This window comes from Homo sapiens, chromosome 19 (assembly GCF_000001405.40).
Source record: "Homo sapiens chromosome 19, GRCh38.p14 Primary Assembly".
Lineage (NCBI taxonomy): Eukaryota > Metazoa > Chordata > Mammalia > Primates > Hominidae > Homo > Homo sapiens.
The window spans coordinates 30,894,184-30,917,697 of record NC_000019.10 but is presented as its reverse complement, the minus strand read 5'-3'; the positions used below and the strand labels follow the sequence as shown (position 1 = coordinate 30,917,697).

The window sequence follows — 23,514 nt, the reverse complement described above, 5'->3', positions numbered from 1 at the left end:
TTATCCTGAGTGTAATTAGTGGATGCTTTTCAAACGTGATGATAATTGCAGCCTATTGTTTCTACAGTAATTTACAGAAATAAGGAACACTACCACTGCTCATCTTCTGGAAGAAACGGAAAGAGTTCTTATTCAGGATTTAGCTGATGTCTGTGGCCAAACGATACAACAGTCACCAGTCACTGTTAGCCGCGGTCCCTCACACCTGCAAAAGCAACCACTTACGATAACATTCCCAGGATAATATAAAACATATTTTCATCTACTGCATCCGGACGTATGCCCAACAGAAAGAAGACCTGCAAATCAGCTATTTCTTTGGCTACAAGGTGTTTATTAATTTAAAAATCTCTGTGGAGAGACGCCTCTGCTCTCTGTTAAAATTTGACAGTACTTTTCTCTGTGGCATGGAATGGGCGATGTTCACAGGACACCTCTGGCCAAGCTTCAGTTGGTCTGAGGAGGGGACAGGCATGCCCACCCACCCCTTCTCTGATGGTGACCAAGTTTCACAAAGAGCAAAGGTCTCTTCCAGTGGAACACTGTTTTGGGGTACCCGGCATTGCCCTGAGAAATGAAAGTGTCTCTAGATGTTAGAACCATTTAGTTTGTCTTGCTCTACACGTATCACACAATCTAAATATTTTATCTGCTCAGGAGTCAGCTGGCGCAGACTTGGGCTGCACCTTCCACTTCTCAACCCCAAACCTAAGTGGGGGTGCATAGGGGATTTGTGCCCAAGGTGATATTTGTTTATTTTAAAACATCATGCAACTTACCTCTCATATAGTTTTTTACCTCCTATCATCCTCTTGAGTAATTACATTTTTCAAGGCAGAACTGTCTTTTGACATCTATCAAAACAAAGAGGTAAGAGAAGGAGGCTGCTAACAGAAATCCTGTTGTCAAGGCCGATCTCCAGGGGTCAGGGGAGAATCCCACTCCCAGAGACCAAAATGGTCTTGAGGGCTCAGGAACATCCCATCCATGGCCAAAGCCCAGTTCCCGCAACATCCGAGGCAAAGGAGGTTTCAAATAGGCAGCTTTTGACATCAGGTTTTAATGAAAAGACTGGGGCTTATGCAGTCCAGGTCCAATTAGGTGAGGCCCTTTGAAAATGTTTTACCCTTTGGGAACGTCATATACGTTTCAGCTGTTCTCACCTCTTAACTATCCCCAGGCCAAGAGACACTGGGACCACACCCAAGGCTGGCCCTCGCAGGCCTCCGTCAGGACCTGCGTGCTGTGGCTGGAGGCAGCTGATGTCGTGGAAAGTCTAGCTGCCTGCTAGAATCCTTTTCCTTTCCCACAGGGCTCTGGAAGTGGAGCTTCCATAAATTTACACAAGTGCATCGACTGCTTCCCCACCCCCACCCTGGCAACACGGGCAAATTTCAAAAGACACTAAATTTGATAACTAACACTTATTACTCATTGCCTCGCCACAATATTCTTGGCAGGGGTTAGAAACTGACATTTGCAGCTGAAAATAATGCATTGTCAAATAGGAAAACTGCAGGCTATAATTTTTAACACTTGTATCTGTTATTTTAAACATGAAACATTGCATCAGTTTGACATTAATTTATATAATGGGGACCAAAAGGGATAATGCAATCTTAGTGACCACCTCCATTTAATTAATTGCCAGGGAGAACCACTAACCAAAAATATGGAATTACCATACACAAAAACAAAGCGCTGTTTGTACACCTTCCATCATGCATTATTGAAATGCACCGTATCATTAGGGAGAATGATCAGGATGCTAGTGTGAAACCAGCCACTGATAAATGCAGACACAAAACTTTTATGAAAGTTTGTAAATACAGTATTGTATGGAAATTCTGATGCATATTGGCTTTCTTGAGCACTGTAAAATGTTTTATTATGAAAAAAGTGGATAAGATACTTATCTTTTAAATTGGAGTTTAATATTTTATTAGTGCCAGGCACATAATTCTCATCAAATGGCAGGAAACTCTTTTTTGTATGGATATAAATGTCTAGAGTTTAATATTTCAAAGATAAGTACCTACCACTGCATCTATCACACAGTGGCTTAATAGAATTTACTTTTTCTTAAATATTTATACTGTATATGTGTTTGCTAGTCAAGTGATTATAGTGCTCTAAGGTGGAGAGCGAGGCTGGTGATGTGGTTAAGAAGACAAGCCACCCATGCAGTTTGCTTTTTCAGTGCATATATCATTCACCTGGACGAGGAGGAAAAGGAGAGAATAATTAAGTAATTCAGACCCAGAGGCTTAGGAAGGAGAACGTTCTGCTTTTCAAAAACAAACAGCCAGAAAGTTTCTCTGATTTGACCTGAGCTTCCAGACAACTCCTCAGAAGAAATTAAGTTTAACAAATTAGAACAAAATGAGAATGGGGGGAGTAGAGAGGCGTTTGGCTTTAAAAGGGAAATTGCATTGTGCTGAAAATCTCCCTTCGAACTGCTGGTGCGGGCTGTTGACTAAGCGTGGGGGGGATTGGGCAGCAGCTTTGGAGTCCTTCAGCCCTGCAAACTCTTTCATCGGGCCTGAGAAATGCTTTCTGATCCATGCTGATACAATTACCTAGCCTTTATTGGCAATTTAGACCTGCTTTTAGGGACATTTTAGAGCAAATGATGTTTTCTTGATATTTTAAAAAAAGCAGTGCTATTTCCTATACCTTTGGGATAAGGTAGAAACCGAGTTAGAGGCTTATTAGAGGGCTGATTGCTACAATGTGGTTTTTGTTGTTGTTGTTGTTGTTTTTGATGTTGAACTGAGCTACTGAAACTGAAGGTATGGGCCCCAGTGGGCGACTCGCCTCTCTCAATCAAAGGTATTTTTATTTTGGATATTTGGGTGAAATACGCAGCAGGATTTACTACTACTATACTTAGAAAGGTCTTAAAACTCTCCCATTAGTCGAAGGATATTAAAATAGGTTCAATAAATTTTTTAATATGCACATATGCCAAGGAGAGGAGGAAGCCTCCTTTGTTCCTTCGGCAGGATGGAGGTCCAGTTGATGAGCCCGGGCTTTCTTTCCTGGAGGTGTTTAGGCCAGTATCAACCAAAGGAGTGGTTACATTGACAGTAAATAAAACTGGCTGTCCTTAAGGGCTTTCTGACAGGGATTTAAATAGAGTGGCATTGAAAGCTGCGCAATGGAATTAGCCAGGGTGCAAAAGCCACAATGTTTCCTGCCCAGCCCCAGTGAGCTCTCTGGACCAGCAGCACCCTGGCAGGCTTCAACTGGCGAGATTTAATTCAGACACTGCTTGGGCAAACCACATCAGAAAAGGTGACTGTCACCTGCCCCGGTGTCAGCGGCCAGGAAAGAGGAGAGGAGAAGGCCATGTGTGTCCAACTGCAAGGCTGGGGCCAGGCCTGCAGAGGACAGGGTTGAACTCCTGGTCTCCCCATCTCCCTGCTCGCTCAGGCCAGCATGGGGAACAACAGGAAAGTGCCCGTACTGGGGAGACTTTCTTGTGATAAATAAAAGCTGATAATTTAAAATGCTCTTTAACAGGGCCATGTGAGCAAGAGAGAACGCACGGTGGTAAATAAAACCTGTTAATTAAAAACGTATTCTTCTAAGACAACAATGTTCTCCTAATCCCTGCTGGCACAGGCTTGTGTCAAGTGTGTGTTTTCCAGGCTGTGACGGGTTCACGTCAGCCAGGAGCAGGGCAGGACGATGGAGCCCAGCCTCGACTTCTCCTCACCTTGATGGCTGTGCCCTGTGATCTGGCCCCTGCCTCCCTCTCAGACTCGGAGGCCTCAGTGGGCAGACTCTTCCCCTCGTACCCTAAAGCCCCGGCCACCCTAGGCAAGCTCTGTCCCACTTCCCAGCCTTTGCTGTTGCGGTTTCCTCTGCCCAAAATTCCCTCCCACCAATCCTTGCATGCTGGCTGCCCCGCTCACTGAGTCACCACTTTTTAAATTTTTATTTTATTTATTCTTTTAGAGATAGGATTTCGCTATGTCGTCCAGGCTGGAGTGCAGTGGCACCATCACGGTTCACTGCAGCCTCGACCTCCTGGTCTCAAGTGAGCCTCCTGCCTCAGCCTGCTGAGTAGCTGGCACTACAGGTGTGTGCCACCACGCCTGGCTAATTTTTTAAATTTTTTGTAGATATGAGGTCTTGCTGTGCTGCCCAGCCTGGTCTCGAACTCCTGGGCTCAAGTGATCCTCCTACCTCGGCCTCCCAAAGCACTGGAATTACAGGCAGGAGCACTGGCCTTAGTTGACACTTTGTAAGGGTCACCTCCTCAAGTGTCAGAGAGACTCACCGTGACTATGATGTCTAATGTGGGCACCTGCACCCCCAGATCCCATCCTGATCACCCTGTTTTATTTCATTTCTGGCCCTTCTCACTGTGGAAAATGATCTTCATTTGCCTTTTTCTGGGTGATCTGTCACCGCTACTGAGCTCTACTCTCTAGGAGAGCACGGACTTTGTCTAGTCTCTGCTGTATCCCCAGCTCTTAGCCTTGTGAAGGGAGACAGTAGGTGCTCAACCCATGCTTGTGGGGAGACTGGAAAGACTTCACAGGAAGGCAGGAGCAGCACCACCTGAGGCTTTTTCCCTCCAGAGGGGCAGCCCTGTGCTTTGGTGAGGACCCTGCAAGCCTGTTAAGGGAGGTGGGTGCAGCTCAAGGCCGTGGAGAGTTCAACGGGTCGGCAGGGGGCACCGAGGAGGCGACTTGAGGGAGAAACAGCCATGCTGAGGCCCCGGCTGGAGCCCCACACCCACGTGGAGCAAACAGCTGCCCTGCCTCATATTTCACCACTATCTGACTGTCTTGATACCGTCAAGGTTCTAGGTTCTAGGCTAGAACTGCAGTAAAGGCTATCAGGTAGCAAGTAGGTTCCAACAGTGAGCTGGGCCTCCTGGGGAAGTCGCAGCCTACAGGGCCAGGCAGGACCAGAGCACAGGTGCCGCAGAGGCTCTGGAAAGCCAAGCACATTCAGAGCCATCTGTGTCACAACCAGGGCAGCCCAGGGAGCCTCTACCCCAGACCTCAGGGCTGGGACCTGGCACCAGCTAGGAAAGAATAGATGTGGAAGCCTGCCACAACTATGGGCCACACAGGACCATGGCCAAGGTCTGAAGGGCCGCATCCTGGCTCCAGGAGCATCCGGTGTGAATAGCTAAGATCTGCATGGACCCTCGGTGAGGCCCTGGCTGGTGGAGACGGCTGGGAGTCCCAGGCAGCAGAGGGAACAGTAGGGCGTGTGTGTAGGGTACAAGACTCCAGGGAATGAGGTGAACAGGGCCATAGAGGCCTGCACTGCCCAGGAAATGCCTTACCCAGGGCTGGACCATGTGGGAAATGTGGCAACTTTGTTCCCTGGCACACTCTGTCTTGCATATTCAGGAGGCCAGGTTGGACAGTGGCATCAATCCTAAGGAGTGTCCTTACCTAGAGAGAGCAAATCAATCCATGCAGGTCTTGGGACACCTGTGACGCATGCCCCAGGTGCAAATGGCGGGGCAGTAGTGTCTTATCGAGTTGTCTCACCTGGAGGGTTCAGCACTGGGCCTGGCAGCAGATACACCGAGCACTGTTTGCTGAGTACGTTGGTTCCTTTCTTTCTGCCCATGCTCCGCACAGAGGCCCACGCAGAAGGGCCACTGGCTGCAAGCTCCTTCCACAGCGTCGCAGTCATCCTGGTTGTAACTGCCTGGGGCTGCCCAAAGGGAATGAGCCCCAGCAGTGAGTTTCTGTTGTCCTGTCCGTGGTCTCGGACTCCCATGGTGGCTCCCCACTCTCCAGGCAGACTAAGAAGGCACCTTAGAGTCATAATACCCTTTGGGTAAATGGAATCTCAGGGCCCTTCCCCAAACCCCTCCGTACACCCACACCTGCCCTGGGCCAGGGCACTCAGTCAGCTCGTGCCCAGCAGGGAGCCTCCCCTGTCTGGGTGCAAATTCCCTTTCTTTCACCAAAAGGGAATTGAGAGGAGAGATTCCTTCAGAGGCCTAGCAGCTGCTGGCAGATACAAAGGGGTTGATTTAAATGTGGTTTATTTCCCAAGCAGCTGTGATGGTGAAGGGAGAGCACGAACTTCCTGTGTTCAGCACCAGGTAGGAGCAAAGGGAAGATGAGGTCCCCCAAGGAGGAAATGTCATTGCTTTTCAAAGAGGTTTTCACACATCCAGCTCCATGACAGGCATCCTTCTTCCTTCCTTTTTCCAGACCACATTTTTGGAAAAAAAAAAATCTACTTTGTGTATGTGTGGGGTGTGGGGTGTGAGAGATACATTCCTTTTTTGTGTCTAAATCTCACAGTCCACATATGACTTTCCCCACTTGAGAATTCTCTCTCATCTGTGTGGCTCCCTGCATTCTATAAAAATATAAATAAATAAAATTTTAAAAAGTATAAAGCCGGTGCCATGAGACCCTTGGGTTGGGCAAAGCCTGTGAAGTTTGAACCGGTTAACGCACGAATACAAGGGAGTGATTATTACAAGGCCATCCCGCTTAGCATCGGGGAATCATTTGGGGAGAGAGATTCAATTTCATAAAGATGATTTTCAAGAGCTGTTTTGTGAGTAGCAGAATGTTGGGTATTTTTTTTCCCTTTCACCAAAATGAATAAAAACTTTATGTTCACTGCGGTACTTAGGTATCGGTTTTGTTAATTTCTTAAAACAAATTGGCTCCCCAGTAAATCCCAAACTTGGACAGCCACATTAAGCTAGCAGTAGGGAGGCAATCTGAACATGATTATCCTGCAAGAGAATTCCCAGAATTTCATCCAAACTGTGATTTGTTCTGTTATAAAAGGCCTATAAAACCCAGTCTCGAAATTCCTGCAGGAAACTCAAGTGTTTAAATATCTACAATTACTCTCTCATGATTAAAGAAAGATATGAAGGACGGGGCATTAGCACACAACAGAAAGTGTGAGGTGTGGAGCAGGCGATAAATCACACGGGACTGTGACACTGGCGGACCTTGAGGCACATCCACAAATCAGTTCCTGGCTGGAGACTCTCTTAACTGGCTGGGAGGGGTGAGGGCTGGGGAGGGACGCAGCAGGCCCTGCTCCAGGCTGCTGGGGACGAAGGGAGGCCCTGGTGGCGCAGGTCCCTACCACGACAGAACTCAGTATCTGCTATGGTCACTGTGCTTTCTGCAGAAGCAGGGTTTGAAGACTGTCATGCATAAACACGCACCTACCGTGCCAATGCGTTGTTCACTCACACTCACACCACGTCTCTCAGGCTCAGCCCTCAGTTCCAGAGTCTCTGGACCCCAGCTGCTGTGGTGCCATATCAGGCCCCATGCACGATGCTCCTGAGAGTCCTTGGGTACTGTCTTTTCTCTAAAGCTCCATCTTCTAAGTGGTGAGCTTTAAAACTGTTCTCTTTGATAACATGGATGGGTAACACCTTTGAGCCAACCCAGTCATCCCATGCTACAGGTCGGGGAGCTGAGGCCCCGCCTGGCAAGGAGACCAATTCATATTCACCAAGTGAGCTCCCAGCAGCCTTGGGAGGAAAGCCCATCCTTCTTATTCCTTGCCTTCATTGCATTTAGGAAAGCGCTCATCTTCTTGAGAGTCCCAGCTGAACTAATGGGGATTGTCTTTTTAGCTGGAACTTTCTTCCTGCCTCACAGGCTCCCAGCCCCGCTGTCTTGAGACTCTCTCGTTAAAAGGGGCCTTAGGGAATGAGCCCAGATAACTGTCTGCAGTACCCCTGAGAGTCTGGGCTTGTGGAGGGGTGGCATATCTGCCTGTAGCGGCATCACCTCTGTGGTTTCACAACCCTCATGGGCAGCCGCTTCCTCCATGGCCCTAGTTTATGGGAACAGCTCCAGACCCTACTCCTAAAACACCACCTCTTTCTTCCCTCTGCCATCACTTCCTGCAATTACCATCTCCAATTTACTCTTCTCATACCTTTAGAACAAGTTCCGTCTATTAAGCCAGCACTTCGGCTGATGACATGGGTGACACAAAGCTCCTAGGGGTAGGAGCTGTCCGTTCCCCTCCCCTCTCCTCCCCAGCACACCATGGGCACCTATAGAATTTATCTTGGAGTGAATGAGTGAGTGGCCTTAAAGGTCATGCTGTTGATTTTCTACTTCACCCTGGAGACGATATGTTGGATATCTTGGTTAATTCAATCCCCTTTCTCCTCCCTAGCCTTCTGAGAAGCCGAGCAGGGCTGCATTTGAGGGCTGTTTTCCCTTGGAGTAGCAGCCTGTTTGCCTGGAAGGCAAGGAAGGGCTCCAGCTACCTGGCTGACCTCAGAGGGACCAGGGTGGTATTGGCAGCTGGCATCTGATACAGTTGGCTGGAGCCGGCATTTTTGGACATGCTCCCTCTCTCATTCTGCCAACTCCCTTGCTCCCTCCCTCTCTCTTTGCCTCTCTCTCCCCATCATCCAGCCTCCTGGAAGTTGAAACAATATTTTGAGGGGTCAAAGTGGAGCATAATGGGAGACCATGGAAACACACGCAGCTCAGGATAGCGTAAGCCCCAGAATGGCTGCGTAGCTCACAGATGACAAATGGCAGAGCCCTGCAGGTGTGCAATCCATTTATTGATTTCAAGCCCTCCCTCCTCTTGTTCTCTAGGCCTCCAGGGAGGGAGAGTCACAGATTCTTAGGGCTGAAATTGTGCAGGAAGGACATAGCTTTCCTATTGGCCAGACATCTAAGGCTGCTGGGCCTAAATATGGAGCCCATTACAAGGAAATCTGGTTCATGTTTCCGATGGAGGCACAGAGCCCCGCTTGGGCTGAAGGCCTGGGTCTCTGTGTTGCTGGCACAGGCTTACAGCAGCAGGCATCCCTTCTTCCTGGTTGCCTGGTATACCAGGGTGAGGGCCCTGGAACAATGAAAATAAAGGGAATAATCATATTTAGCAAGGATTGCAAATTTGCTCTATGCTGGGAACATTTTTTCAACCCATTTACATTTACTGATGTATTTAATCCCCACAGTTCCCATGAAGAATGGAGTTTGTCTTTTTATTCCCAGCTATGTGGCCTGTAACAGGTCACTGAACCCTGCTGTACCTCAGTCTTCTTATCTGTAAAACAGAATGATTTCACATCCCCCTCATCCAGCCTAAGTGAAGAAAAAAAAAAAACCTCTTCAAAAGTACAAAACTTCTCAAGCCATTCACTCTTTCTAGAAATGTGCCCTCTAAAGATATGGAAAAATTAGGCCTGGAATCACAAAAGGAAGAAAATGAGCATTTGAAGCTTGAAATTACAGGGAGACAACTTTTTCTGTAAAGGGCCGATAAGAACGCTTTATGAGTCATACTGTGTCTGTTGGGACAACTCAACTCTGCAGATTGAAAACAGCCACAGATAAACCGATAAATAAGTGTGTGTGGTTCTGTCCGAATAATACTTTATTTACAGAAACAGGCCAGAGAAGAGGCAGGCTGAATTTGGCCAACAGGCCATAGCTTGTTGACCCTTTCTTAAACAAACAAGGCACGTTTCCCATCCTGTTCACAACACATCCACCATAAAAATGAGTTATGACAAAGTGGTTCTGAGACATAGAAATCAAATACTGTCATCTTCCCTCTGCCGGCTTTTCATTTTCGGGATGTATAAACAAAATGAGGTGACACTAATCAACCTGTTTGAACTACGAACAACTGGAGATGTCTAATTCACATAAGTGGATGAGCCTGGGGTTTTAATCTTAAACATAGAGAGTTCATGAATGTAAGTCCTTGGCATGGTTTACTGAATTATAATTGACAAAAGAAACAGTAAAAATAGATTAATGCTAACCTGAGTGATCAATTTCCCCCTGAAGTACCATGCGGGATTACTCTGCACATTTACTTCATTTCTAAGGCTTTCTTCTGACACTCTCAAATCCTCTACTGTAGGCACTGGAATTCCTTGTACTACACTGGGGTGATGGCACCATGTTTCAAAGTTATTCAGAACCTGATTGGCCGTGTTCCTGCAATACATTTTCCTAACCTCAAGATAAAGATCCATGCATCTCTTTACCCTTTAAACAAAAAAGCTATTGTAATAGCATGTAGTCTCAGGCATGGTCTGAATACAAAAACCTGCACATGCACTGCTAAACTGTTTAAGTATGGAAGAAGTAGTGTCTAATAGCATCAGGAAATTGAAATTTAAAAATTTTTCTCACTCACTTATTTGATGAGAACTGGGTATGCTGACAGGTGAAGCAGAAAGCCATTTTTCAAGTTAAATGCCAAGTGGTTATATAGCATAATATTCAGTCAAAATTAACCACCTAACTGCTGCACTGACACCCAGCATATTTAATGCCAACTGTTCTTGCAAAGAAAACGGCAGACCTCTGGGAGTGCCTGCAGAAGGGGAAAGAAACTGATACTAATACTTCAATTATTTAGGGGGTGCCCCAACTCTCTGAGTGGGAAAAATGGACTCACCAGCAGTGACACTGACTCTCACGGACGCCACAGAGGGAAATCACTCAGTGTCTTCCGGGGCCCTCTGGGCCTGCTAAGCCAAACCCCAGAAATTTCTGAATTTACGTGGGCCTCAGGCAGTCTCCCTACAGGCAAACACTTTTGGAAAAAGCAGGTGGATTCCTGCCTGCTGGCACAGGTGCCGGGGAGGCTGTTTTTCTAAGCTAGTTTCCTAGTGACTGCCAAGCAAGGTTCCCCAGCTTCCAGGGAGCAAATGATGCCTGTGCCAGAGGACAGCAGATCCAGGGGCCCAGGGTAGCAGGCAGAAGGCAGGCATCACTTGGTAGGATTCAGATTCCGAGGAGTGGCTTAAGAACCCCCATCTAGGAAGTACGCGGAAGGGCAAAGACAGCCTTTGTTGGAAATTCTAGCAACGCTTTTCCTGGAGTGATTTTATTTGTGAGGATGCACTAATATTTCAGCTAACAGCCCAGGGAGTGTATAACTCAAAAATTCCAACCACAAACAAAAACGCACTGTGGAGTCCACTCCCAGCTTTAAATCCTAGGCAACCAAGTAACCAGAGGGCCACTGCTTTTCCTCCTGCAAAGGTAGGGAAATTCATCTGTAAAGTGCAATGCCCCATGGTGGCTCCTGGGTGCCCCAAGACCTGCCAAGAGCAAAGGGAAAACCAGGCTAGATCCAGATCCCTCCCCTCCCCTCCCCTCCCGTCCCCTGCCCTGCCCTCCCCTCCCCTTCCTTACCCTCCCCTCCCCATAGGAAGAATTTATCAACTTCTTCCTACCAGAAGTACGATCTTCAACCATTTCATTTATTCAGCTTTGCATTTTCCCATGTGGTGTTTCCTGGGCTTCTCAGAGCCACTCTGAAAGACAGGAAGGTGGAGGTTATTGGCATCCCCTGGTACCAAGTGCAAAAGCAGATCTACTGAGGAAGGTGAGGAAGGGCTATGGGTCGCTGACATCATGGCATCTACTGGGGGATGAGCCAAGCCCAGTATCCTGGTCTCTTGGCTTCTAAACTGATGTGCCATCTTTCGAAAATAACCAACATTTTATCTTTTTATTTTATTTATTTATTTATTTATTTTTGAGACCCACAGTTTCACTCTGTCACCTAGGCTAGAGTGCAGTGGCACTATCTTGGCTCACTGCAACCTCTGCCTCCTGGGTTCAAGTGGTTCTCCTGCCTCAGCCTCCCGAGTAGTTGGGATTACAGGTGCCTGCCACCATGCCCAGCTAATTTTTATATTTTTAGTAGACACGCGGTTTTGCCATGATGGCCAGGCTAGTCTCAAACTCCTGACCTCAAGTGATCTAACCACCTCGGCCTCCCAAAGTGCTGGGATTACAGGCGTGAGCCACCGTGCCCAGTCTAAAATAATCTTTAAAAAATGAAAACAACTAAGAAAATTGTTTCTGTTGATTTTTGAGAATCTAGAGAATACCGAAAAATTAAAGTAAAATTAAAAACAAATAGTATCTCTAATCCCAACATCTACTAACAGGTATTAACTCATAGGTTTATTTCTCTCCATCCTTTTTTCTGTGTGTGTGAGACAAAAAGAGAGATTGGGGAAGGGACATTCCTTTTCACTGAATTTAAAATTACATGCATTGTATATGTCATTAAAGTTACTTGCAGACATCTTTAAAATCTTAAAAATATATCCTAATTTATTGAGCCAACCTATAGTGTTGGCCATTTAGGTTGTTTTTAACTTTATTATTTTTGTTCCTGTTTCTCTTGTAGCTTGGAGCATCTCTGTGCATAATTCGGTATCAGCCATTCTGACCAATTTTTCGTAGGCAGATTTCTGGATGGTAAATCACCAAGTCAAGAGGAAGGGGCAGTGGTCATTTTAAGACCCTTAACTGTCTCTCCAGGTCAAATCTCAGCTCTCCTCCAAGAAACTCAGGCCAATTTCACTGGCCTTGTTCAGAATGACTCCCACCCCCACAGGACCCTTTTGAGCAAGACAGTGGTTCTCAACCTCAACTTGGACACTCCTGATATTTGGGGCCAGAGAACTCTTTGGTGTGTGGGTTGTCCTGGCCATTGCTGGGTGCTTAGCTGTATTTCTAGCCTCTACCCACTAAATGCCGGTAGCACCCTCTCATCACCTAAAATGGTTCCAGAGATTGCCAGATGTCTCTAGAAGGAAAACCTCCCCTGGGTGAGAACCACCAGGCTAGACCATGGTCTGGGTAACACTGGCAGATGGATGGGTTAGCAACCTAGTGATGGAAGGCAAGTCCCATTCCAAGAAAAAAGCCAGATAATTCTTCTCAAATTAAGCCTTGCTATTACACATAGAGCTACATGTACATCAAAAAAAAATCCCTCTACAAAATTAGTGCTTCTTTGTTTCCATGGCATTGCACATGTACATCTACACTGCTTAATAATTCTTTATGTACCATTGATATTTTATTACTTATTTTTTGCTCTTCTGTTAGTCCTGTGAATCTCTCAGGGCAGTGTTTCTTATCCATTTCCTTAAGTTTGACACCTAACACAGAGTGGATTAAACTGAATGAATGAACAAATAAATCTGAGCTGAGACAAGGGCTTCTCTTACACATACGTGTGTGCACACATATGCACACAAAGACATACACATGCACACATGTGTGTGCACATTTATGCACCAACAGAAGCCTTGGAGGAAAGGAAGGGCTACCAACTACGAAGGCATCTGTTGCTTTTGACTAGATGGTGATAGCTGAGGGTAAAATTTCTCTGTGTAAGCACTACAAATTTCCTAAATCTGCATAGAGTAACATTTGGGGAGTCAGAAGTAATGTATTTTCCAGTGAGGTAGGGCCTCTACTTTTAAATAAGGGTACTTAGGGTTGTCAAAGGAGAAGAGAACTTTCTCTATTGCTTTAAGAGTCAATTTACTGCATCATTAACAGATGTCGTTTAATGGAAAGTCCTGTTATTTTTGGAGGACGAAATGCATATTCCACACTAAATATAATAACAACATAAACCTTTAATAAATAATTGTAACAGTTTATAAATATTTAAGTAGTAAATCTGAAAGTCCTGAGGGACAGGAGGAGGCCGGGAGGGAAGATCTGATTTGTAAAGCACTAAAAATAGGTCCCGACACATATATTGTTAGCCTGTCTTTTTTTTTTTTTTCTTTCTTTCTTTCTTTCTTTCTTTCTTTCTTTCTTTCTTTCTTTCTTTCTTTCTTTCTCTCTCTCTTTCTTTCCTTCCTTCCTTCCTTCCTTCCTTCTTTCTTCTTTCTTTCTTTCTTTCTTTCTTTCTTTCTTCCTTCCTTCCTTTTTCTTTTCTTTTTTTTTTTTCAGACAGGGAACTGCAGATTGGGGCCTTTCAGCAAACATGATGATTAGAGCAAAGTGGCCACCCTAGGGTTAATAAGTAGAGGAACTGTGGAGGGTGAGATTGATCAAAGGGCTCAACAAAAGGGAGAGAAGCCCCCAAAGCTTTCATTTTCTGACCTTGACTTTGGCTGTAGACACCTGAAAGAGGCGTACTGAACACTGGGATACTCGGAGACAATCCATGCCAGAGCATGGAAACACCTTCAACTAGCAGGACACACCAGGCAAGTCAAGCTCCTCGTTTCTGAGAACAACAGTGTACCAGGGCTGGTGTTGAGCACTTCAGCGGGATCACTCCACTGATATTCATAAGGATTCAAGGACTATTATTATCCCTTTGATGCTGCTTGAGGCCACCTGCCACTGAGTGGTGGAGATAGGATTTCAGCCCAGGTGCTTTGGGGAAAATGTCCTCTCTCCAAGGGAAAAATCACAAGAGATGGTTTCTCCTTGTTATTCTGGATTGTCATGTCTAGAGATGCAACAGTCACCTCGAAAATACAAAAGAAAGAAGACTTAGGATGAAACAGATGGTGAGGACAAGAGAGAAGAGAGACGGGAACAACCTGGGCCATTGTTGACTACTGAGCAGCTCATTGGGCTGTCTCCGGTAGACGTCCTTACTCCGAATGTGAGATTCCACGTTCTCTGGTTATTTAAGACAGATGGAGTCAGGATTTTGTGTTACTTGCAGCCAGAAGCATCGTAACTGATCTAGGCACATACACAAGGGCCCAGTTAAGGGCTTGTATGTATAAGAAGAGTTTCAGAAATGATGAATGATTGGGCAGTAGTCTTCATAGGGTCAAACTCCTGTCCTGGGACAGCTCCTGATTGACTTTCCAGCACCCATTTTAAACTTTTACTGAAAATCCTTTCTTTTCCCCTGCAGAGTTTCCTCTCCTTCTTTTGTACTAAATGTGTACTGGGAATTGACCAATTCCCCAGCACCTGGTGGTAGGTGCTGATTGGCAAGACAAGAAAAGAAGCCCAGCCCCCTAGTCTTAGCCACAGTGATTGGTTCAGGAATGACTTTGGGTTCCATTTCAGGCCAATGAGATATGAAAAGAGGTTTTTCCTGGAGCTTCTGTAAAAGGATCTTTCTCACTCTTCTAAAACAGAAGCACACTCTCTCTCTCTCTCTCTCACAATCTCAACCTTCCTGGGGAAGAAAACATACTCCAGCTGATTTGCTGGCTTCCATCTTTCTCTCAAAGAGAGGAAGCGGCCATTGAATGAAGCTGACGTCCTAGCAGCCAGAATAGAGAGGCAGAAAGAAAAGCATTGCAGTGACCCTAAAGTCCTCTCTACAAGTGGGTTTCCCACTACATGAGCCAATACATCCCCTTTGTTGTTCTTACCAGTTAGAGCTCCTGTCACTTGGAAGCAAAGGCATTGTTGCAGATACACACACACACACACACTCTATCCACCTGGCATTCTAACAGAAAGCCCAGGATGGTATTTGGGGTTTGTGCCCAGAGACTTTGGCCGGAGGTTTCTACTTATCACCAGGTGAGTGGAACAGTGACCATGACCACTATGAGACACTCCTGAAGGCCTTTAGCAGACAGTGCATAGCGGGGAAGGAGGACACTGGGAATGAACACTGGAGATTTGAGCACAAAACCTGGAACACAGGGAAGAAGGAGAAAGAACCCAAGAGAGGGTGTCTAAGGAAGTCTTTCCTGATTTTGAGAGTCCTTGCTCAATCCAGTGACCTGCAGACAGACCCTGTGAGCATGGTTGTCTAGACTCCTAAGTGGAAGCACACAGGCAGGAGAAATAAGCAGGTGCCTCCAAAGAGTGGCTCTAGGCCCTCTGACGGTAGAACTCATATGTAGTAGCATCTCTACTAAGACTGATGTCAGCAGCCTTTGTCTTTTAATCATTGTTTAAGTATTTACCGTAACAGTTGTTTACTCTCACTGTTTCTCATTTTATGAGAATGAAAGGAAAGCTCCCGCAGGAGTGCCCAGCTACCCCTTGCGGTCTTTCACAGGGCAGAGGTTCCATCTCCCTTCCTCATCTAAGCCTCTCACTCCTCTTTCTATGCTCCACCATGTAAAGCATTAGCCCCCTTTACGATTTATTATTACTGATGTTAAACATTGCACATGACAGTGTATTAAATCACCTCTATGGGAACTTGTCTTATTGGTTGATCTTCTGGAAGAGGCAGAAAGAGCTTACTTTTACTTTATTATCATATTTGTTTGAATTATTCTATTTCTAGTATTATGTTTAGTATTTTGTAGTTTTCTTTTTTCCTGAAGAATGGATACCCACTGCCTGTGTGACCCTAGAGCCTGATTGCATTGGCATTCACAGGCTGCTGTCTTCTGTCTAAAGCCCCCGGCCCCACCTGATTTCCCACTCCTTCTGCCTACTTATGCTCATGCAGAGAGACTCACCAGCCGCTAACCATACTTGGTATTGTTTTGTCCTAGCATTACTGAGACCATCCTCATTTCTATCCAGGCCCCTGAACCCCTGAATTCAACAAATCTTTCTGGCTTTGTGAAGTCCTCCATGCCCCATGAGGTCTCTACAATGACCCAGACCTTGAGGAGGAAGCTTCCTCTAAGATCTCGCTAAGCACCTGGCCTGTCGACACCCACTGCTGCGTGTGATCACTTGCATCTGTGTGTGGACCTGGCTTATTTCCCCTTCGACACTCACAATCCTAGGGGCAGAGGGTAGAGGGTCCAGGTCTCCTGCGTCATCCCATAATACTTACCATGAAATTCTGCACAGAGGGAAGAGTTCTGAGAGAGAGAGAGAGACTGACTGGCACAGCCACCAGCCTATGGTGGGCCAGGAACACACAACAATCCTATCCGAATGTCCTCAAGGATTATAATGCACTTCCCCCGGCCTGGAGCAGATTCCAGGCCACCCTGCAGGCCCTGCAGGTGCCAACAGGAGCTGTGATAGGTAAGGAGAGAGTAGACAGCCTACCAGCAGATGAGTCTTCACAAATCAGAAAAATCATTGTATATCGCCCCTGTAAGGGGCCTTTGGAATGATCTAATTTCAGTCTCTTGTTTTATAGGCAAGGAAACCAAGGCCCAGAAGAACGTGATTTCCCCAAAGTCACACAGCTAATTAAAGAAAGAGTCTAGACCAGAATCCGGGTCTTTTGACCCCTGGCAGATTGTTCATTCTATTGCCTAAGCCTCCTTTGATTAATAATCAGTTTCAGTCTAGTTCTGCCCAATTAGGAGTTTTTGAAAATGGGTTCTTCACGTTTTTCATAGGTATGCATGAAGACAGCGTTCTGCGGTCAGATAAATTGGAAAATGATGAACCAAAAATTAAATTGATTCATTGACTCAGAACATCCCAGAGCTTTTAGTATGTGAGTCCAAGAAGGCAATATTGTATGTAGCATTTTCCAAATTTAATTGATCATGGAATTCTTTCTCATCCACCCCCCAACAAACTGTGTTGAGGCATTAGTGTACCAGGACACCTAACTAGAGAAATGGGAATCAATTATGTTTTTCAGTGATTAAGGGCTCATGATTTCACTTTCAAAGTGCAAGATCCACATGGCTTTAGGCCTTTGCTCATCAGAATAGAAGCAGCCACCACCAGTAGTTCTGTGAGCTTGTCTGCCTGGAGAGCTGTAGGCTGTCCATCCTTGGAAGATTCTCAGAGTGGGATGAGGAAGTTGGCGGAGTGGGGGTGTTGTCATCTTAGTCCTTTTAGGCTGCTATTACAAAACACCGTAAGTCAGGTGCCTTATAAACAACAGAAATTTATTGTTCACAGTCCTGGAGGCTGGGAAGTCCAACATAAACGCACAGGCAGATTTGGTGTCTGCAGGGGCCTGCTTTCTGATTCAAAGATGGCACCTCCTGGCTGTGTCCTCATATGGGGAAAGGGGCAAGGCAGCTCTCTGGGGCCTCTTGTGAGGGCACTCATCCCATTCATTGGGGCTGTACCTTCATGACCTAATCACCCCCCTCAAAAGCGTCACCTCCTACAACTACCACACTGGGGATTAGAATTTTAACATATGAATTTAGAGGAGATGCAAGCATTTATATCATAGTAGCTGTCCTTCTGTCTCATGAAATTTTAAGTGAAAATTTAATTTTTAAAAGTTATCGTTTAAATCTTAAAAAGCGCCTATTCCTAATTACCTCTAACGTGCAGCAGCCTCAGTGCTGTTGAACACATGGGGATGCGTTTCACCAGTTCAAATATGGGCCCTGTCTAAGGTCCCTGATGTGTCCCTCTAGAGCCATTGGAGATAGGATGGCACCAAGGAGACCTCAGTTCTGCAATGGACCCATCAGATCAACTCCCTGGTTGGCTGTGGCATGAGTTATCCTAAGAAAAGGCATTATATTTCTGCATCTTACCACATATTTCCAATTGAATTATCACAAGGGTATTACAAAAAAAAAATCATAGGAGTTGGCAGTAACTCAGTGAATAAAATCACCACTTTAATTGTGCCAGTGTAACAGGTCGATCATTATCAAGAAAGGTTTTGATATATTTTTTAATTAAATGTTGACTCTGTTGATCAATTTCACTGATAGCCAAGTAATCTCCTCCTCTTTCCCCATCCTCCAAAACAGTTTGCTTCCCGAATAGGACTGTGACTAAGAGGCAGAAATCCAGAAACCTAATCTTGGCTCTGTAATTAGCTGCCGTGTGGCTTTAGGCAAGTGACTTCTCCTCTCTGTGCCTCAGTTTCTCACTCTGCAAGGATAGAGAAGAAACCAATATTTTCTAAGGCCCTCTCCCACTTTGGAATTCTATGATATGAATACATAATATACTATTACTGAACAATATTTTACAGCAACAGAAACTTGCATTTTTATCATTCATTCAAAGATGTCCAAGGGACCTATGAATGTTAGTGCCCAGCATGGGGCAGCATGATTTTCTGTAAAAAGCCCCTGGCATCTGGCCTCTGTACCAGTAGTAATTGTGAGACACTCCCTAAGCTTGTTTCCTGGTTTACAAAACAGGACATTGGTTCCTGTCCCTACTCTTGGATGTTGAAAATTTGAATCCCAGGGTCATAGTCAAAAGACCTCCTTCAGCCTGTTCTCAGCATGGGAGGGAGGGCCGCCCAGTGGCCCAATCTGCAGGAGCCAACAACAGGCAGCCTCTGCCAAAGCCCAGCTCCACTGCTTACTTGGTTAAGTCGCTCCAACAAGTTGCTTGGGCCAATTTTATAGGTGGGAAGTTAAGGTACCAAGACATTAACAGTCATATCTACCTTATAGGATACAGAGAGAATAAATGAGTGTCACACACAGAAACTGCTCACAGCAGGGCCCGGCATTTGATAAGCACACATTGCCTCTTAACCATAGTTGTTAACTATCTTTATTCCACTTCACGATGACTTGCATTAAAATGTCTATTTGGGCCAGGTGCAGTGGCTCACACCTGTCATCCCAGCGCTTCAGGAGGCCAAGGCAGGAGGAGCACTTGAACCCAAAAGTTTGAGACCAGGCTGGGAAACAGAGTGAGACCCCCATCCCTACAAAAAATAGAAATTAAAAATTAGCTGAGTGTGGTGTTGTAGTCCCACCTATGCCTGTAGTCCCAGCTACTGGAGAGTCTGAGAAGGGGGGATTGCTTGAGCCTGGGAGGTCACCGCTGTAGTGAGCCGTGATCGCACTGCACTCCAGCCTGGGTGACAGAGCAAGACCTTGTCTCAAAATACAAAAAGGAAAACAGAGCTGGGTGCTGTGGCTCATGCCTGTAATCCCAGCACTTCGGGAGCCCGAGGTGGGCAGATCATGAGGTCAGGAGATCCAGACCGTTCTGGCTAACATGGTGAAACCCCGTCTCTACTAAAAATACAGAAAATTAGCTGGGCGTGGTGGCGGGCACCTGTAGTCCCAGCTATTCAGGAGGCTGAGGCAGGAGAATGGCGTGAACCGGGAGGTGGAGCTTGTAGTGAGCTGAGATCGCACCGCTGCACTCCAGCCTGGGCAACAGTGAGAGACTCCGTCTCAAAAAAAAAACAACGAAAACAGAAAACACTTATTTGAACCACAAAATTCACAAAAGAGCGATTTGACTCAAGTCTGGGGAGGTTTGTGGCCATTCCATTCCTGCCCAACTTGCCCCACAGTGGTCTCCCACCCTCCAAGCCTGCACTCCAGGCCTGCAGTCTCCCATCCGTGTGAGGCCCGGGGAAGGCCTGCCCCAACTCAGCCCTCCCTGGCCCCTTCCCAGTGCAACCTTTGCTTCTCAAAGATATGATTATAAAGTGAATTTCTCAGTGAAAGTCAAACCATAAACGGGCATTTTCCCTCTGATGCTTACTTGTTATCTGGGGAGATGGCCAGAGGAGGGCCAACGGATAGCACCTGTCTGAGTTTAAAACTCTCCATTGCATTGGTCAAAGAGGCTAGTATCAATAGTGAGGTGCTCTGCCCAGATGACCCCCTGTGGATGCCCCAGCTTGCAACAGGGCACATGGCTCACCTCTCTCTGGGATGAACTCATAGGGTACAAAGGCCCAGCCCCCTTGCCTCCATTTGGAACAGCTCTGAAGGCCCCACCCAACCCCAGAGTGCCCCAGGGACCAACCGAGGCCTCACTCAAGAGGCGCTGCTGTCAGCTTTTCCCTCTGCCCCTGTTGCCTTCCTCCATTCCTCACAGGGGGTTCTCCCCAAAAACCTGCCTGCTACTCAACACCTGAGCCCGTCCCAGGGAACCCAGCCTGAGACAGAGGCTCTGTTTCTGCTAGTCAGAAGACAAATGGTTTCTCCTCCCTCATCAGGACTGGAAGGGAGGCCCCAGGGAATCTGCTGAGTGGGGAAGTGGGGTGAAGGGACCCTGAGGTGGGAGGCTTGAGCCAAGGGGCCCAGCCAGTGATCTCACCATGTGGGCTGAGTAGAGCCCTGTCTGCTGGAAGGAGGTATTCACCCCCCTGACACTTCCAGAGACCTAGAACATGGAGGAGCAAGACCTCCCCTTCAATTCCCTGGGCCTTCTGGTCTCCAGGGATATCCCTGGGGTCGGCCAGCCCCTGGAGATCCCTGTGTGCCTCCCCCCTCTCTGCTTCTACCATTTCCTGCCCCATTTACTCTCAGGACTTGTTCTGCTCCCTCCTCTCCAGATTGCAGGAATGCAAAGAGAGCTTTGATCTTTCCCTGGGTCACTGGGGAGAGGGCTAAATTTAGATGTAACAGAGGATGAAATGGAAGGGGGGAGGGGAAATGAGGCAGGCCTAATGCTTGTGTGGTTGGATGCAGGGAGCAGAATTATTTCCCCAGCTGTCCAAGGCCTTCATGGAGGTAACCCCTGGTCACAGGCATCCATTTCATTATTAGCTTTTTGGACACTGAGAGGAGCTTTCCAGAAAACTGAAGAGTAAAGCAATCATAACTCTGGTGGAGGGAAAAGTGGAGCATTCGCTAACTTCAGAGAAATGATCTTGGAGAAGCACTAAGGCAGCCTGGGCATGGTGGTGGCTTGCAGGTCACACAGGAGCTCCGCTAGCAGGCTCTGCGGCTCCTGGGAGCAGCCTCCTGGAAGAGGCTTTGCTCCCTTTTCCTTTTCAGACGCCATTCTCTTCTGCCTTCAAGAAGCAGGTTATTCCATGAAAGTGAGAGCACTGATTTAAAAAGAAGAAGAAGAAGGTTAAAAGGAAAGGAAAGGGGGCAGATCCTTCTAGATTGGGGTTTTTCAGCATTGGCACTATTGACATCTGCGATGGGGTAATTTTTGTTGCAGAGAGCAGTCCTGTGCATGGTGGCTTGTTTAGCACCAGCATTTCTGGCCTCAACCCACTAGGTGCCAGTAGCAACCCCCTCCACCTGTGACAACCAGAAATGCCAAAAATGTCCCCAAATGTTGCCAAGTGTCCCCTAAAAAACTTCCCCCCCCACCACCACAACAACTCACACGATTGAGAACCATTGCTCAAAATGCACCCTTTAGTGTGGGCACTGGGAGGGAATGTGGGGACGTTCTTTTGTATTTATCTAATAGTTTATAATTGACAGAGCAGTTTTCCATACCTCTGCTTACGTTTTTCATGTTACTATTTGTGATGGGCTGATGTGTGCCCTCCCCCCAAAATTCATATGTTGATGTCTTAACCCCCAGTATCTCAGAATGTCACTGTATTTGCATCTTTAAAGAGGTAATTCAGTTAAGATGAGGTCGTTAGGGTGGGTCCTATTCTGATTTGTCAATGTCCTTATAAGAAGAGAAGATTAGGACACCAACAGGTACAGAGGGTGAAGGCAGGGCAAGAAGGTGGCCGTCTGCAAGCCCAGCTGAGAGGCCTCAGAATAAACCAACTCTGCCCACATCTGACACTTGGATCTTGGACTTCAGGCCTCCAGAACTGTGAGAAAATAAATGTTGGTTGTTTAAACCAGCCCGTCCATAGTGCACTATCATGGTAGCTCAGCAGAGTAATTCACAATGTTAGGGGTCTGGCCAGACTGAGTTCCCATTTCGGAGGGAACAGCCCTATTTCCAGAGGCATGGAGCTCCTCGCTCACTGGGGACCCAGACAGAAAACGTGCACCTTCTGGGCACCTTTCAGACAGCATGTGAATATTTGTCAGCATGTATTTACTGGGGGCTAGACAAAGAGAGATTTTCTATTCAGAGAAATTACAGGCTTCTTCCTTGATGATCAGTATGAGGGAAGTAGCACCTGCTTTGAACATAGTGTTTTCCTTTATCCAGAATTAGCTCCTATTTTGTTGCTTTTTTTGTCAGAAACCTAGATACTATTAACCGGTCGCTCACACTTAACTGAAGACAGAGGAAATGTACATGGATGAAATTTAAGCATTTTGCTAAAAATATGCAATGGCTTCTTTTTCTGGCTTTTAGTGCAGCAAAACATGTTTCTCCCTTTTCCCGACTGTCCATTTTTTCTTCAGTTTTTGTTTCAATTTTCAGAGCTTCTTGGGACCTAATACAGATTTGTACATTTAGATAAAACCAATCCACTTACTGTCCTCAGTAAATAGCTCACTGTCATGCATTATTTGGTGGATTATTACAGTGACTACATCATCAAGTTCAGGTGACTGGCAGCCAACTGGTTTTAGGATTAAGGACATGTAGTAGTATTCTGTGACATGTATGCAGGCATTAAAAAATATGAACAAAAATGCATTGTCAATGATGAGGGCTTGTGAGAAATTCTGTTGTAAAGAGTTCCCTACTTTGAGAAGATGATCTAAAATTACTGGTTACCTTCCCCAGCTTCCCCTACAGGGCTAAGCAGCATTAGGAAAAGGTGGCCCAAAAGTACCGTGTCTTCTTCTCGCTAATCTTGCTTTGTTTCTATAACCAAATGAAGTCAGTTACCATAGATGACATTTGCAAGCTCCTATAAACAGGTACACAACTCTTTCCCACTGGAAAAGTGCTGAGCTCACAAAGAGGCACAGATGGATGTCCACAGACCACAGTCTTTGTAAAAGAAATTCCCCCCCAAAAAAACCTGACAGAATCAAAAACCACTAAAATCTCACCTAACTCAGATTTCCTGGCAACCTGATTTTTTTTGTATATGTGGCATATTTCAGGTTTTGTTGCTCGGACTTAAAAAAAAATGCTAACGGTAATAGGCACATGAACTATCTTTAGGATTTATGGTATATGGGAAAAAACAGAAAGTGCCATAGATTTGTATAATTTTTTTTTCTAGAAAAGATGTATTGTGCTGGTACTAGCAGTAAGATGAAGAAAAACCATGAAATTCTTCATGGTATTATAT

At 46.1% G+C, this 23,514-nt stretch overlaps 1 long non-coding RNA gene across 1 annotated transcript, besides 1 other annotated feature; it reads right to left on the bottom strand.

Moving 5' to 3' along the window:
- Nucleotides 4,417–5,299: an enhancer, noted in NCBI's record as "H3K27ac-H3K4me1 hESC enhancer chr19:31403307-31404189 (GRCh37/hg19 assembly coordinates)". NCBI's record gives its function as "activates a minimal SCP1, AML or CMV promoter by ChIP-STARR-seq in naive H9 embryonic stem cells {active_cell/tissue: H9 hESC(naive)}" and the evidence as "EXISTENCE:reporter gene assay evidence [ECO:0000049][PMID:30033119]".
- On the bottom strand, nucleotides 8,543–10,459 carry LINC01834 (long intergenic non-protein coding RNA 1834). The gene is made up of 2 exons (NR_184040.1): nucleotides 10,420–10,459; nucleotides 8,543–8,847 (listed from the first exon to the last, which is right to left on the bottom strand). It is a non-coding gene; the product is annotated as a long intergenic non-protein coding RNA 1834 (long non-coding RNA).
- Nucleotides 10,460–23,514: the final 13,055 nt, after the last annotated feature.